The sequence below is a fragment of the Homo sapiens genome, chromosome 2, assembly GCF_000001405.40.
Source record: "Homo sapiens chromosome 2, GRCh38.p14 Primary Assembly".
Classification (NCBI taxonomy): Eukaryota; Metazoa; Chordata; class Mammalia; order Primates; family Hominidae; genus Homo; species Homo sapiens.
In genome coordinates this window covers 222,566,690-222,581,859 of record NC_000002.12, presented here as the reverse complement: position 1 = coordinate 222,581,859, position 15,170 = coordinate 222,566,690, and the positions used below count along the sequence as shown (strand labels likewise).

General features: G+C 38.8%; 1 protein-coding gene across 4 annotated transcripts in view; it reads left to right on the top strand.

The window, feature by feature from the left end:
• The window catches only part of FARSB (phenylalanyl-tRNA synthetase subunit beta), an 89,194-nt gene extending 74,233 nt beyond the window's left edge, over positions 1–14,961 (top strand). For all 4 annotated transcript variants that reach the window (NR_130154.2, NM_005687.5, XM_011510466.3 and 1 more), the window contains one exon: positions 9,838–14,961. Coding sequence is in view for 3 of the 4 variants with exons in the window: in NM_005687.5 (NP_005678.3) it covers positions 9,838–9,989 (152 nt within the window). In the remaining variant the exon portion in view is untranslated. The remainder of the gene's footprint in view (positions 1–9,837) is intronic.
• The last annotated feature ends 209 nt before the right edge of the window (positions 14,962–15,170 follow it).

Sequence of the window (15,170 nt, the reverse complement as noted above, 5' to 3'; positions counted from 1 at the left end):
AATTTCCCTTGCCGTGAGCAAATGTAACATATTTACATGTTTACAAGGACATTTTTATTTCCTTTTCTGTGATCCACCTGTCTTCTTCCTTATTTCTTTAGGTTTGTCAATCTTCTCTAGTTTTAGGAACCTTCTATGTAGTGTGGCTGTCAACCCTTCGTGATATACATATGCTGTTTTTTCAGTTTGTCAACTGTCTTTTGACTCCAACTGCTCAGAAGCTAATAGCATATCTATTATGGTTTATCTAGGAAATTAGAAAATTGTTGAAAAACCACTTTTTTGACATTTCCTGTATTTATTTCTAACAAGCAAGATTCTAGAAACCTTTAATAACTAAATGCTTGCTCTGATTTTTAAAAATATGTTAATCCATAGTCTGCTTTGTTTAAAAATTGGAAATGTTTCTTTTACTATGGACTTTTGGGGCAGTGGGGATGCAGAAACATAACAGAACATCCATTAGAGATCTGTCTTCTCCAGTTTCATTCATCTGTCAGCACATTTCTTCTCTCCCATATTATTCCTTTTTTGAGAGACTCCTTTCTGCTTTTTAGCTTAAATTACTCTTCTATATATATATTACATCATTGCAGAAATCCAACAGATTGACATTCATTTAAAGTATTCCCAATACCTTCATAAAAATGACAGGAGGCCCGTTAACTTTACTGAAGTCTCAGTTGTGGTTTTTACTTTGACCAATTATTTTGTTTTACACTGGGGTTGAATAGCTGTGGCCTAACCTTGGGCTTTTTGAGAAATGAATGCTGTCATTCATTTGGGTGACTTGGGCAACCTTGGAAATACATCTGAGCACCTGTTGGCTCATGTGGGCTGTGGGTCAGGAATGTGATCTTCTTGCTGAGGGTCTTATGAGGCCAAGTAAAATGTCTCAAGACCCCCTGGCCCTTCCTGTCTTGTAGGGTTTTTTGTGTTATAGTTGTACTTTCCTCTACTTCTCCCCTTCCAAGAACCAGAACCCTCATTTTCCCCCTTCCGAGTCACTATATTTTGTCGCTCACCTTTCAGGAGATAAAGGTTTCTAGTCACTCTCATAATCCCTAAAGTCCCTTAGTTTGTGAATTGCATTCTCTGAAAAAAGGTTTCCTCTTGGAATTATTTTCCTAGGTTGATTTGGGGCATTTTTTTTTCCTACCAGTGGAATTTTTTTTTAAAGGCAGTAGTTGTGTTATGCAGGAGAAAGTTTTTTATTGGTGTTGTACAAGATGAGATCAATATAATCTATTTGTGGTTTGTTGCTAGTACCACTACTAGAAGTGCATTGTTTAACATTTTGCTATATAAGGAGCTATACAATGATTCATTTTCTTTTTACCTATGTAGCACTATTTTTTTTTTTTTGAGATGTTGTCTCACTATGTTGCCCAGGCTAGTTTTGAACACCTGGTCTCAAGCCACCTTCCTGCCTCAGCCTCCCAAAGCACTAGGATTGCAGGTGTACAACCACTATGCCTCACCTTTAGTACTACTTTTAGAAAAGGGAAGTAATCCAAGAAAGACTCTATGCTTACAGAAGCCTTATTTATACTAATGAATAATAGGAAACAACTTCAGGATTAAATACTTAAAGAATAAGTTGACAAGCTATGACATATAAATATAGTGGAATGTGATTAAAATGTCTTTAGACACGTGAATACAAACTCACTTGAAAAAGCAGTTCCCAAGATGGAATAGACATTAATTCATTATATATAATATTTATTATGTATAATATTCATGTATATAATATTTACTTATATGTAATGAATATGTTGTTTGTAAAACCTTAGGATGCATGCTAATCAACTGTGATAGAGTCCATTTAACACTGAGTGTTGTGGCAAGTCGTTCTGTCACTAATCCATGTTATTAAAGACTTAATTCCTTCACGCCAGTTTCTTCATCTGTAAAATGGCAATGACGATATCTGTCCCATCAACACCCTAGAGTTGTCAGGGGAGGCAGTTGCAAGAATTTGTGAAAGCATTTTGGAATGTGTAAATCTCCTCAGAGTAAACTTGGAGTAGATCTTAGGTCTATCTGTCTTCAGAAAAGCAACGTTGGATGAGCTACAGACTGGGTTTCAGGAAAACCTGAGTTCTGATCTCAATTCTGCTCCTACCTGTTTTCTTAACCTGTCTAGTATCTATTTTTTTCATATATTAAGTGAAGGAAATGGACAGGATTGCTTCCAAGGTCATTTCTAGTTTTAAGAGTTTGCAGGAGTTTAAATTCAGAAGGAGTTTCTGCCACAAGTTCTAACATTTCAGCTCTTTTTCTTTGCCTTTGTAGATGGTGTCCCTGTGGTACTTGTCTGCTGAAATAATTCCAGCTTTGTTTCAAGAATCTGAAATTTATTCATACAAGTACCTGTGTTATATGGGATTTAAAAAATAAATAGTTCTGTTTTCCATGGAAGGCTCTAGGTTTTGTCAGTATTGTGCTGTATTAATATTACAGACCCTACTTGGGTATGTCCTAAGGTGGAAGATGATGAACTGTCAGTCTTTCTTATTTTCTCTTAAGTTTTGTTTGTTTATTTAATTGTAAACCAGAAGAAGTTTGTAAACACGAAATGGACAGCTTGACCAAAAGCTTAAAAACATTCTGCTTTAGGCCTTATGTGCCTGTGGGCCACACACAGAAGAGCTGATTCCACGGCCCTTATTCACCTTTTGCTTACTCTCCAGCCTCTACTATTGCTTGCCTAGGGCAAGCCTCCTAATCTCCTTGTGCTTCACTTTTTCCCATCTGTAACTTGTCTGTCCCACAAAGGGCTTGGCCAGGGCTGCACTGGGAATGAGTGAATAGAAGGCGAGGTGCCATGTTTTTGCAATTTCATTATTCTTTCATTTTTCTTTTCTTTGTTTTTGAGATGGAGTCTCACTCTATCACCCAGGCTGGAGTGCAGTGGTGAGATCTCAGCTTACTGCAACCTCCCCCTCCCGAGTTCAAGCAATTCTCTTGTCTTAGCCTCCTGAGTAGCTGGGACTACAGGCGCCCACCGTCACGCCTGGCTAATTTTTTTTGTATTTTTTAGTAGAGATGGGGTTTCACCATGTTAGCCAGGATGGTCTCGATCTCCTGACCTCATGATCCACCTGCCTTGGCCTCCCAAAGTGCTGGGATTACAGGCATGAGCTACTGTGCCCGGCCCCAGCTAATTTTTTTGTATTTTTAGTAGAGATGGGGTTTCACCATGTTGGCCAGGATGGTCTCGATCTCCTGACCTCGTGATCTTCCCGCGTTGGCCCCCAAAGTGCTGGGATTACAGGCGTGAGCCACCGTGCCCGGCCTCCTTTTTCTTTTACATGCCCTACTTGTCACCTGAAATCTTACTCTGAAACTAAAACAGCTATCAAAATTACATGTTTAAAGTTATGTTTGCACTAAGTTAGCTAAAGGTCTCAATTGAATAAGTTAACTAATTGTGAAATTTGGATACAATCTCATATAGTCGACATTTCCATTCTTTCCTTAATTAGCCCTACCACAGTCTCTTTTTAATTATTTCACTGTACTTGTGGAGGAAGTAATAAATTATTCCTTTTGGTTTGAGAAATAATCCCCTTAAAGATTTTTGTCAGGTGAAAGACTGGGTAAAGAACCATTTGTTGGCCCAAGAAGGCAGAGTGATTTCTTTTATTTTTGAAGTTGTTATTCTAAATATATTCTATACATATTGAAGAAATGTGAAAATTTTGGGGGAAAATGATATGGGTGTCAGACAAATATAGGATGATGGCATTATTTAAGAACAGAAGTTTTCAAAACAGACTGACAGTGAGGGTACTTTTTAACCTAGAGGTAAAAATCCTTTGGTTTTACACAGTTTGAGAGTGATTTAAAGTTACAATTAGCTGGGTCATCTTGAAGCTCTTCCAACATTCCTGACCTCCTTTAGGTTTTAAAATATGAGTGTGCATGTGTGCATGAGAGACACATAGTTAAGATTAGACTTTAAAATAGATCTCAACGTTTCCCGAGCATTTTCTATTTAATCATTTCGTATTTGCCCTAATTAACTAAATGTTTCATAAGAAATGTTAAAAAGTAAAAATCACAGGAATAAATGATAAATGATAAATTTCTCTACACAAATTAAGACTGGGAAATTTTGGAGTTACGATTCTAAATATTTAGTCACAAGGAGATTGTGGTAATTGTTAAAAGATGGTTGTTTATTGAAGACATTGCTCCATCACTTAGAGGACTAGGTAGTGTGGGTTTTGCTGATTTCTTTTGAAGCATAAGGTCCTACAGGATCCTGTCCGGATTTGTAATAGTATACCCTGCCCTGTGTTGATGGAATGTTGCTGCGTCATGGGCTCCCTGAGTTCCATGCTGTGGGGTTAAGTAGGTACCAGTTCCCTCACATCCAGTTGCCTTCACTTTAAGAGTTAATGGTGTCTGCAGGTGTGTTGGGATTAGCACTGTAAAGTTGTGTGAGGGGGTTTTCTTTCTTTTGATCTTCAGAAAGGGATGAAAGATGGTCATTAAACTCAAGGGATTAGGTCCCCTCTCTTTACAGACTTTAGGTACCATAAATATTTCACTTCAAATGCAAGGTGAAGAATTGTATACATCAGGGGAAAATAGGTGTTTTATATTACCAGTTGGAAATTATTCAGTCTCCACTTACAAATTAAATGGTCTTTGCAGAGACATTTTCTCCCAACTGAGTGTACTAGGATCTGAAAAAATGTTTGTGTGTTTTATATCTCAATAATGATTTTTTTCCTCCTCATATTCCTAAACCTTTTTCTTTCCTTTTATAAGCTCTAATGTCTTACCTACATTGTACCGTTTTCCCCCTTGAGTTCTCTCCCCTTGTTGTAGTCCATCGGTGCCCTCAAAAAACTGCTGGTTCTAAAACTTCGAGAACAGCCACCTTTAAGAATGACACCATGCTCACGTGGGATAAGTGTGTGTTTCATTTTATAGCCTCTATATGCTGTCTCTTCCTTTAAATCAACATTGTTTAGAAAAGGAAGGTGATGTTGATGAGCTGGCAGCAGAGTCCTACAATTCCTGTTACTGCATTCTCAGAAAACTAGTGGGAAACCAGGAGGAAGTTCCTCCTCTGTAGGAAATTATGGTTCCAGTCTCATTCCACACTTTGCCTTGTCACCCACCCTGTCAATTTCACCCCAGTATGGAACACTGGAGATGTTTTATTCCCCTTTTCTGGGAGGAGAAGGGCTTGGGTAGATGCCAGCCCCCGAATCAGCCTGTGAAATGATTATTCCTCCCTTCACTCCATAGTACATAATTACTCACTTAGAACATATTTACAGTACATTCAGTTGGCCCAGTGGCTTACAATATCTATATAATTTTGTATTTTTTTAGTTCATCCCTGAAGTTGGAGACTTATGTATAGTTAAAACTCATGATGATAGTTTCTGTTGTTTGCTATGACATATGTGACATAAGGACATTCCTTTTCCAGTGTTCCCTGCCCCCCCCTTTATATTTTGTTCTTATCTCTTTATTGCAGAAATTTTGGGTGGTTAAGTATCAGATTGCAAGCAGTACAATATGTGGGTTCGAGCCTCACATCATGTATTAGTAATGTAAAAAAAAAAGGAAAAATAAAATTGTATGAGTAGATGACTTTTTACAGATGGGCTAAATAAAATACCAAATGATTGAGTCGAATATAGCCAGTGGCAGGGGGATGAAGATCAGGAATTAAGACCCTGATTAAGAAGGTGCTTGATAACACCTTCTGATGTTTTCAGATTAGGGGGTCTGCTCAGTTACCTCCTTAAGCTTCTACTTCTGATGCTCCCTAAAATTATAGGAATGACTCTACGTGTAAAGCTTATCCAAACTTTGGGCCTATAATATTTCTCTTTAAAAAAAAAAAAAAAGATGAGGCAAAAAGAAACTGTGAAAAGTGTTTAGCAATGAGCAAGAGAGGGAGCTTACAAACTCTTTGATGGTCAATTAGCCAGAAAATGTGCTAAAGCCTGGGTGCTGTGCTGGATTACAGGCCCAGGAATTACCCCCAAGGTCCTCAGAGTGGTCCTGCCGTCTGAGCACAGAGACAATTACAGACCTCTAGGAGATGCTACAAAGGCTTTAATTAAGGGACTTACTAACACCCCACTAAGTTTTGGAAATTGAATTCTTTTTTGTGCTTACCTGATGTTTCTTTTGTCCAGACTTTCACATGTATTTCAACAGAGAACACTATTTCCCCCACATCTGTTTTATGTTGGAAGCCGTTTACTGTGATAGCAGCAAAGCTGAGAGTTTAACCAGTATAAGGAAGTAGGTAGAAAAGCGGGCTCGGAGGCTTTTTGCTGGGGAGCATTTTGGGCTTAGATTGAAAATTGTAATACTACACATCTTGAAACATCAGTAAGAGAAAACTAATGTACTTTATAGAATTTGAATTTTAGAATTCCCATTTCACAAAGCAATGTCATTTTCTTTGAAATGGCAACTTTATGTTTCTAGACACAGCATGCTGCTCTTTCTCTAAAAATATGTTTTTGTTTGTTGATGCTATAAGGTTAGCCTTTGGCTACCACCCAGGTCTGATTTTTCACAAGCCTAGACTCATATTTTGTTCCATTTCGATGTGACTGTTTTTATTTCTGGAAATACTCTGCTTTACGGCACATTAGTCCTAGCTAGAGCACTATGATCACATTAATCTACCGGAGTTATTGTGCTCAACTACCCCCTTTCTGCCAACAGTGGAGAGAGATGCTCTCATCTTTGAACTCTAGGGCCTAATGGTTGCCCAGGTCAGCTATATCTCCCTTGTTTTCTTAGTGAAGTAGTTATTCTCTCTTCTATCCTTTGAAGCAATTCCCTTCTGCCTGCAAAGTTTGGTTTGAACCTTAAAGGTTTTCAAAAGCACTAAGAAATACTTCTGTTTTAGTAACGTTATATTTTCCTTCAGTATTTCTAGTTTACATGTAATATCTGTCAAGTGGCACATTTTTTAGGTTCTCTCTGTTGTACCAATAGACAACTTGAAGGAGCTTTTATGTGCGTACCACTTAATTTGTGTATGAGGAGGACAGAACCTTAACCTTGCTGAAAAGAGGAGTCGATAAGAAAATCACAAGAAGTGTTTAACCTGTGATGACAATTTTAACTTGCCATTTTTTCATTTTTCACAAGGTCAGATATAAAGTGTGCAGTTTCAGCAAAGTCGAGTTTATACAGGAATCTTATGACTGGGCTTCATTTTTACATGTGGGTTGGTAGGGAAGGATAATTTGTATTGGATGATAGGGCAGCATGCTTCCTTTTTACGTGTGAGTTGGTAGGGGAGGATGATTAGTATTGGACAAGAGGGCAGCAGGCTCCTGTATGTGCTGTCAGCTCCATTGGACCGCTGTGAAGGCCTTCTGACCCCAGAGCAGTTTGAGATGCTGCAGTGGCCTGGATGGGTCTATGTGTCCAGGTGACAGGTGAGAGCTTTTGATATTTATGTTATGTAGAATACTCATATGCTTGGATATGTTTTAAATAAAGCATAGTATGAATTTTAGTTCTTTTTTGCTTTTCTTTGGAAAGAGGGAAAATTATACTTAGTGACACAAATATTTTTTGTCTGATCAAGTACCTAACTGATTAATGAGCTAAAGCAAAGTTTGATCCCAACTTCTGGAGAGAGGTAGATCTGGCAACTGAAGAAGAATATAACTGAATTTTGCTAAAAAAAAAAGTGCTGATTCGAAAAGTTGTTTTATGAAGTAAAAATTCTAAGCTCTTATCTCTTAGGCTTTATTTTGCTAACATTGTTAGAACTAGCACATCTGGCTTAGATTCCAAAATAGTTTGGTTTTATGCTTGTAAAAATGAAACCAATCAAATTGGAATTGAAGATAGATGAAAGGATGGATTTTGGTACAATGAGGATTCTTAAACACAGTAAAGTTATCAGGGAAGATCCTGAACATTGCCTTTCTGAGTGTCCCTTAAAAATAGACTGGTGTCAAACATCAGCATCACACAATATACCCAGGTAACAAACTTGAACACGTACCCGTTGAATCTATTAATAAGATAAAAGTTCATAAAAACCACAGCAAGCTGGTGTCTTTTTTCAGGTAGTGTGGTTGTATTCAAGTCTAGCTCTGTATAGGGGTGCTGGGGTGCTGGGATAAATAATTCCCAGCAGTCCTTCCAGTTCTGCAGTTCTTGATTATATTGCTTACCATCAACACCTTATATAATCTTCACTTACATGTCATTTGAAGATTTTTCTTCTCCTTTGGGGAGTCGAGGGGAGGAGAGTTTTGTCTTTTAAGTTAGACATTTATTTTGATAGAATTAAAATGTGCCATCTTTATCAGATTTAGTAATATTCATATGAATGTGAATATTCATATTAATATGAAACTAAGGCTCTATAATATTAGTTGGGTTTGGTTTCTGCATTGTTTTATTTGGTTTCCCTCCCTATCCCTCACCCCAAGTGTGGATTAGTGTGCAGAGCCAGATAGTTAAATGCAGTCACTGAAATTCTTGCTTTAAAAGACAGTGAGGCAGAATTGTTTAGTTTGGAGAGATGTGAAAAAGAGGCCACCTTAATATTTCACCTCTGTTGCTTTGGGTTTACTTAAGAATGACAATTTAGAATATTTTCCAGCTCTTTCCCCAGAAATATAAACAAAGATCCTTCTCTGCTGGTCAAGAAATATATGTAATTGTCCTTTGTCTCTGTGGTACTAACTTGACAGTAGCCGGTTCCCCTCCCCTCCAACCTGATTCTGTATTTCCTAAGCATGCTGACCTTGGAACCATTAGTAGAGACTCAGCAGTTTACTCTTTCATCAATAATGCACTCACTCTGAAGTGGCAGGCTGGACACTGTGGCCCAGCTCTGCATGGGTGTTTATAGTTTATGCCAGTAAATGTTTCTGTTGAATCTGTCAGGAGCTGCAGGCCTGATCCCTTTTCAAGTTGGTGGTGAGAGCAGTGAGTCAGCATATTTGTAAACTTCAGAAGAGTACAGAACACTGATAATTTACTGTGGCACTGGTAATTTCATGAATATGGAGTGGGCCCATATGTTCATTTTTAGCTCTGTAAATCTCAAGAACTGTTACTGCCTTGGTAAGCTGTATCAGTGCATTGGCACCCAGATAAAGAGAACTTTCTGCCTGTCTTGAAGTAAATGAGGCATCAACCCAGACTTGTGTTAGGCTGGCCTTTGCTGTGGTTTTACAGTAGATGCTTCAGAACTGCTTAGAAAGCTCTTTTCAGATGGGAATGTGGGTTGCCTTCTGGTAGCATGGCCTGTCATCAGAGGTGTGGTTCCCCCAGTAGCCGGCCTATGACACGGCGGCTCCAGTTTCTTTATGTAATAAGGTGAGAAAGAGTGAGGAAGAGTTGTACAGAGCAAATGAATTCAGTGTCGATGTCTTATCCAGTGAGCGTTGCTATGGAAAAACCTGTTTGAAAACAGGTTCTTCCCATTAAGTTCATCAGTTTTATGTTTCATTTTTTTCCTTTTGGCCTTTTTAGGACCAGTTCCAAGTGCAGGCAGAGTTCCCCTAGGACTTCTGACTGTGGACCTTCAGCAGCCTCCATGATTTCATCCTTCCTGCTCGGGTCCCTGTTACCAAAAATACAGGGCCCTTATTTTCATATTTGCCCCGGATTTTTTCCTTGCAAGAGTTTCTTGATAGCAAATCCTTCTTTTAAATACTAGAAAGTATGAGGAAGCGTTCTCTTTTCATAGCCAGTGATTTAAAGAATAGTTATTTTTAAAGTAGACTAGTGGGCTTTTAGTGTTAAATGTCTATTGATGTTTTGCCAGAAGAAACATTGATTTTTCTCTTACTTTCTCTTTTTCAGGGCCTGCTTTCTTCCCCGGGCGATGTGCAGAGATCTTTGCCAGGGGTCAAAGCGTCGGGAAGCTTGGGGTCCTTCATCCTGACGTTATCACCAAATTTGAGCTGACCATGCCCTGCTCCTCCCTAGAAATCAATGTTGGACCCTTTTTGTGAAGATTGGTCTCTGTGGTGTGATTCTCTTCCCAGGTGTCCCTTTCTCCTCCCCTAGTGTCCTTAAGTCCTCCTCCACAGGGAACATCTATTTGGGCTTTGATGTTTAATAAAGTAGAAAGCACTGTCTGGCTGTGTGGGTAGAGACCATCCTTTCCCTGCATATTAGGCCAGCTTGTGCCATATACCAGTGTGGTGTCTGTGTGTGAAGCTGCATTGTTGGGTAAAAGCCCCGTGGAGTGCTGGAGAAATGCACTAGCAGAGTGCAGGATCTGTTCTGAAAGGCAGACGTGCTCCTCAGACATCAGAACATCACATTGGAACGGATTACTCCTGCATAACAAGATCCCATTTCTTTCCTTATTGATAAAACAAGATAATCGATGAGAATTCATGTTGCATGAGTTCGAGATAACTGAGGGGTTTAGCTTTGATTTTCTACATTTGACATGTATTCATCATTGAGAAACACTAAAATAACAATATTTTTAGAAAACGTTTAAGAATCAATTATGGTCCAACAATTATAGCTTCTGAGGTCAGTTTAAAGTGAAAGAAAAATCTGTAATACAAGGATTCAAAATATGTGAGGGTGCATAGGTATTTTTTACTCTATCTGTGATACTCTAAGATAGAGTACATGCAACAAAGATCTGTTCTGCTGTAAGAGTTAAAATGGACAAGTATTGATATCAATGCAGTATGAACATTAGGAAACAATGAGAAGCTTATTTTTGCCATAGGCCATACATGTTACTGTAATCAGTCAGTTATAAAATCATGGTTTTAAATACTTAATTGAGCTACTAGTTTCTCTATTGTCCCAGGGAGATATTAGACCTCTCTTTTTCTGAAGCTAAGCTTCAGCCAATCCTCCTTGTTTTATATCCTAATTTCCTTTCTTACTTCAATCTAGAATTCTCCAGTAGGTACCATCTCTGGAAAAAAGCTGGGTCTCATGTTTGAGACAAGTTCCCAGGTACTATTGAAGTAATAAGAAATATGATAAAATATAATACTTTAAAGTCCCAGTAGAAATAGCTAACAAAGGCTGGGTGCGCTGTGGCTCATGCCTGTAATCCTAGCACTTTGGGAGGCTGAGGTGGGCAGATCACTTGAGGCCAATAGTTCGAGATCAGCCTGACCAACATGGTGAAATGCCATCTCCACTAAAAATATAAAAATTAGCCAGGCATGGTGGTGTGGGCCTGCAGTCCCAGCTACCTGGGAGGCTGAGTCAGGAAAATCTCTTGAACCAGGAGGTGGACGTTGCAGTGATCCCAGATTGTGCCACTGCCCTCCAGCCTGGGTGACAGAGTGAGATTCTGTCTACAAAAAAAAAAAAGAAGAAGTAGCTAACAAAGATAGTGAAATAAGAATTATGTTTATGGATCTTTTGCTGAGTCTACTACTAGGAGAAAACCTGACCATATTACAACCTTGAATTGGGGCAGCAGTGTCTAACTCTGTAAGATTTGTGAACACACACACTTCCAGCTGACCCTTCACAGCTCTGTTATAAGCAGATCCTTACAACATTTTAAAAATGAAATATGCCCTCTAAAAATAATGCATGCCAAAAGGACTTGTATCCAGCATGCATAAAGATTTCTTAAAACTTAATAATAAAACTTAATAGTAAAAATAAAACAACTGTTTTTTAAAAATGTGCAAGAGTTGAGCAAACATTTCCCAAAAGATGACATATGAATGAGCACTTGAAAAGATCCTCAACATCGTTAGTCATCAGGGAAATGCAACTAAAATTCACAATGACAAACTGCATACCCATTAAAATGGCTAAAATTTAAGATTCATAAATCAAATACTGCTGAGACTGGAGCAAGTGGAACTTTCATGCACTGCTGGTGAGTCACAATGTAAAATGTTACATTGTGACTTTAGAAAACAGCTTGGCAGTCTCTTGAAACATACACCTACCATCTAGCCATTCTATTCCTAGGTTTACCCATATGGCCAAAGATTTTTATGCAAGTGTTCACAGTGTTACTTATAGTAGTTACAAATTGCAGTATATCCATACTATGAAATACTTCTCAGCAATAAGAAGGAATGAACTACTGATCCTCAAAACAACATGAATGAATTTCAAAACAGTATGCTAAGTGAAAGCAAGAGACACAAAAGACTCTATTTAATTCTATTTACCTGAGAGTCTAAAAAAGTCAAAAGCAGGTGGTCGGCAGGACCTCAGGAAAGAGAACTGACTGCAGTGGGTTAAGAGAAAACTTTTTGGGGTGATGGAAATTTTATCTTAATTGAGGTGGTAGGTGTACTTCAGGTGTAGGTTATACCTTTGTAAAGCTGGGAGAAAAAGAATGTAATGTAACATGTAGTATTTTACTGATTTTAACTACATAACACCAGTTGATAAATGCCTAGAGAAATAGCCTGAACTGTAGAATTGGCAGTTGTGCTCAAGGTGGCTCACTGGTCCACAGCTATTAATGATATATTCTCCCTTAGTTTCAGGTTCGCTCTAGTTAAAATCATGGCTTATGGATCATCATATGATAGCCCTTGTTGAAGTAGGTGGAACCATTTGTTCTGTCAGCAGCTACCCACCTGGATATTTTTGGGGGTGGCCAAAATTACTTGTAATGAAAAACCCACTAATGCCTAATTGTATATCCCAGCATGAAAGGGGAAAGATCAACTCCATGCATCATGTAGATGTTTCTGCCCTCGGAAGCAGGAAATGGTAGGCAGAAAAACAGTGTCGGCTGCATTGGAAGAAGCGAATCCAGCTCATGAGTCGAGGCTCTGCAGCCAGATCATCTTACACTTGTCCCTGGTGAAGCATTTGAACTGGAGCCAGGGCAGTCTGTGAGTACTGCCAAAAGCCTTTATTACAGAAGATGCACACCTTCTTAGTAAAAACTGGGAGCTCTAGTATTAAAGTGAAAATTAAATGGAATTGATTTTTGTTCTAGCTTAGAAAAAACTTAAATTCTACCACTACAGCCTCACAGTCCTGCAGTGCTCTTCTAGTTTTGTTTGTTTTTTGTTTTTTTAGACGGAGTCTCGCTCTGTCACCCAGGCTGGAGTGCAATGGCACAATCTTGGCTCACTGCAACCTCCACCTCCTGGGTTCAAGCAATTCTCCTGCCTCAGCTTCCCGAGTAGCTGGGACTACAGGTGTGTGCCACCATGCCTGGATAATTTTTGTATTTTTAGTAGAGACGGGGTTTCACCACGTTAGCTAGGCTGGTCTCGAACTTCTGACCTCAGGCGATCTGTCCACCTCTGCCTCCCAAAGTGCTGGGATTACAGGCGCCCAGCCTGCTCTTCTGTTTTTAAATTATTTTTGAATTGATCTTTTTTCACATTTTAATTTTTTTGGTTTAATAACGGTATGAGAGTAGGAATTCTCCCTGATGTGTAGGGTGAAAACAGTTGAGTTTCAGAGAGATCAATAACTTACTCAGAAGTCACATAGCCAATAAATGAGTTTGAGACACTATAAAAGAGTGACTTGGAGTCCACAGACCACTCACTGATTTGCATTATTTACTTATTTATGCGAAAGTAAATAATGGGACTTTCTACACTTTTTAAAAATATAAAAATAATGGGAGACAAAAAGTTAAAAATTGTTAAGTCCAATACTTTAAAAAAACTCTGCAAACTGTGGCCTTACTGAGTTAATCTACCTTTCTTCCTCCTGATTCCCTGAAGTAACTAACTGCTGTTAACAATTTAGCCTGTATTGTTCCTTAGTTTGGACATTTTCCTTGATTTGTACAGTCAGCCACACACACCTGCTCACATTTTTGGGGGTCATGCTCTACTTACTGGTTTGCAACAAGTTTTGTTTTTTATTTTACATATATCTCATGACATTTCACTTAATATGCCCCATTTTTTCAGGTCAGTGCCTATAGACCTATCTCATTCTTTTAAATGAGGTAATATTCTATTGTACAGATGTCCGTAATTGTTCAATTATTCCCTTGTTGGTGGACATTCAGTTGTTTCCAACTGTTTGCAATTATAAACACTGCTCCAATGAACCCCCTATCCTGCTAAATAGCACTGGCTTAGGACCCCAAGGAAAACCAGTCCTAATGGGTGCAAGACTGTATAAATATCCACATTTGACAGACACATTCAGAGATGCATAGAGTTCATTAGATATTTCTTTGATGTGACGTTTGTACTTGAACTATATATTATTCCAGTACCTTACATCTTAGATGTAGAAGTCGCTAGGTCAAAGGATGTGTTTTGAATTTAAAACATGTTGAATGACTGTTCTCACATTTTAAACAGGAGTAATCTACTACAAACCAGCCAGCCTAACCACTGCCCCTGCTCTCAGCAATGATGGGCTCATCAGCTTGGTAAGAGAGAACATTACTCACAATCTTGCTTCTCAATCTTAATCTATTTGTGCTTGGTGTTTTATATAACATCACTAACCCTAATACTTGAGTATTTACTTTGGCCCTTCTGTCCATTTTATCCAAAAGCAAACAGATAGCCTTCAAGGGACACCATTGCCTTAAGCAGAATATGCCTCCTAAGCATTGAAAGCCTTTGACCCATCTGATATCCAAGTTCTGGCTTATTATGTTATTAGGGCCTTGAATAACTTTATGTATATTATTATGGACTGAATGTATCCCCACAAATTCATGTTGACCCTCTGACCTCCAGTGTGATGGTCTTTGGAGATGAGGCCTTTGGCAGGTGATTAGAGCTAGATGAGGTCATGAGAGGGAGGCCCTCATGAAAGGCTCAGTGGCCTGATAAGAAGAAACACCAGAGAGCTTGCTCTGTTTCTCTGCCTACCTGGCGCACACATACAGAAGAGGTGATATGACCACACAGCAACATGGTGGCCACCAGCAAGCTAGGAGAGGGATCAGAATGAAACCTATTTTGCTGGCACCTTGATCTTGAAATTCTAGCCTCCAGAACTGTGAGAAATAAAATTCTTTTATTGAAGCCACCCAGCCTATAGTCTTTTGTTGTGACAGTCCCAGCAAACTAAAACACATTATTGAAAACTTGCATTCAAAAAGTAGAGAGTGGCATGCATGATAAAATTCAAGGCAGCAGTACACCTCTGGGACAGTCTGTAGCAGTTCCCTAATCTACCTGTATCCATGAGCGCAGATAGGAGTGAAGCCTCCTAGGCTTCCAGTCTGCAGCATCTCT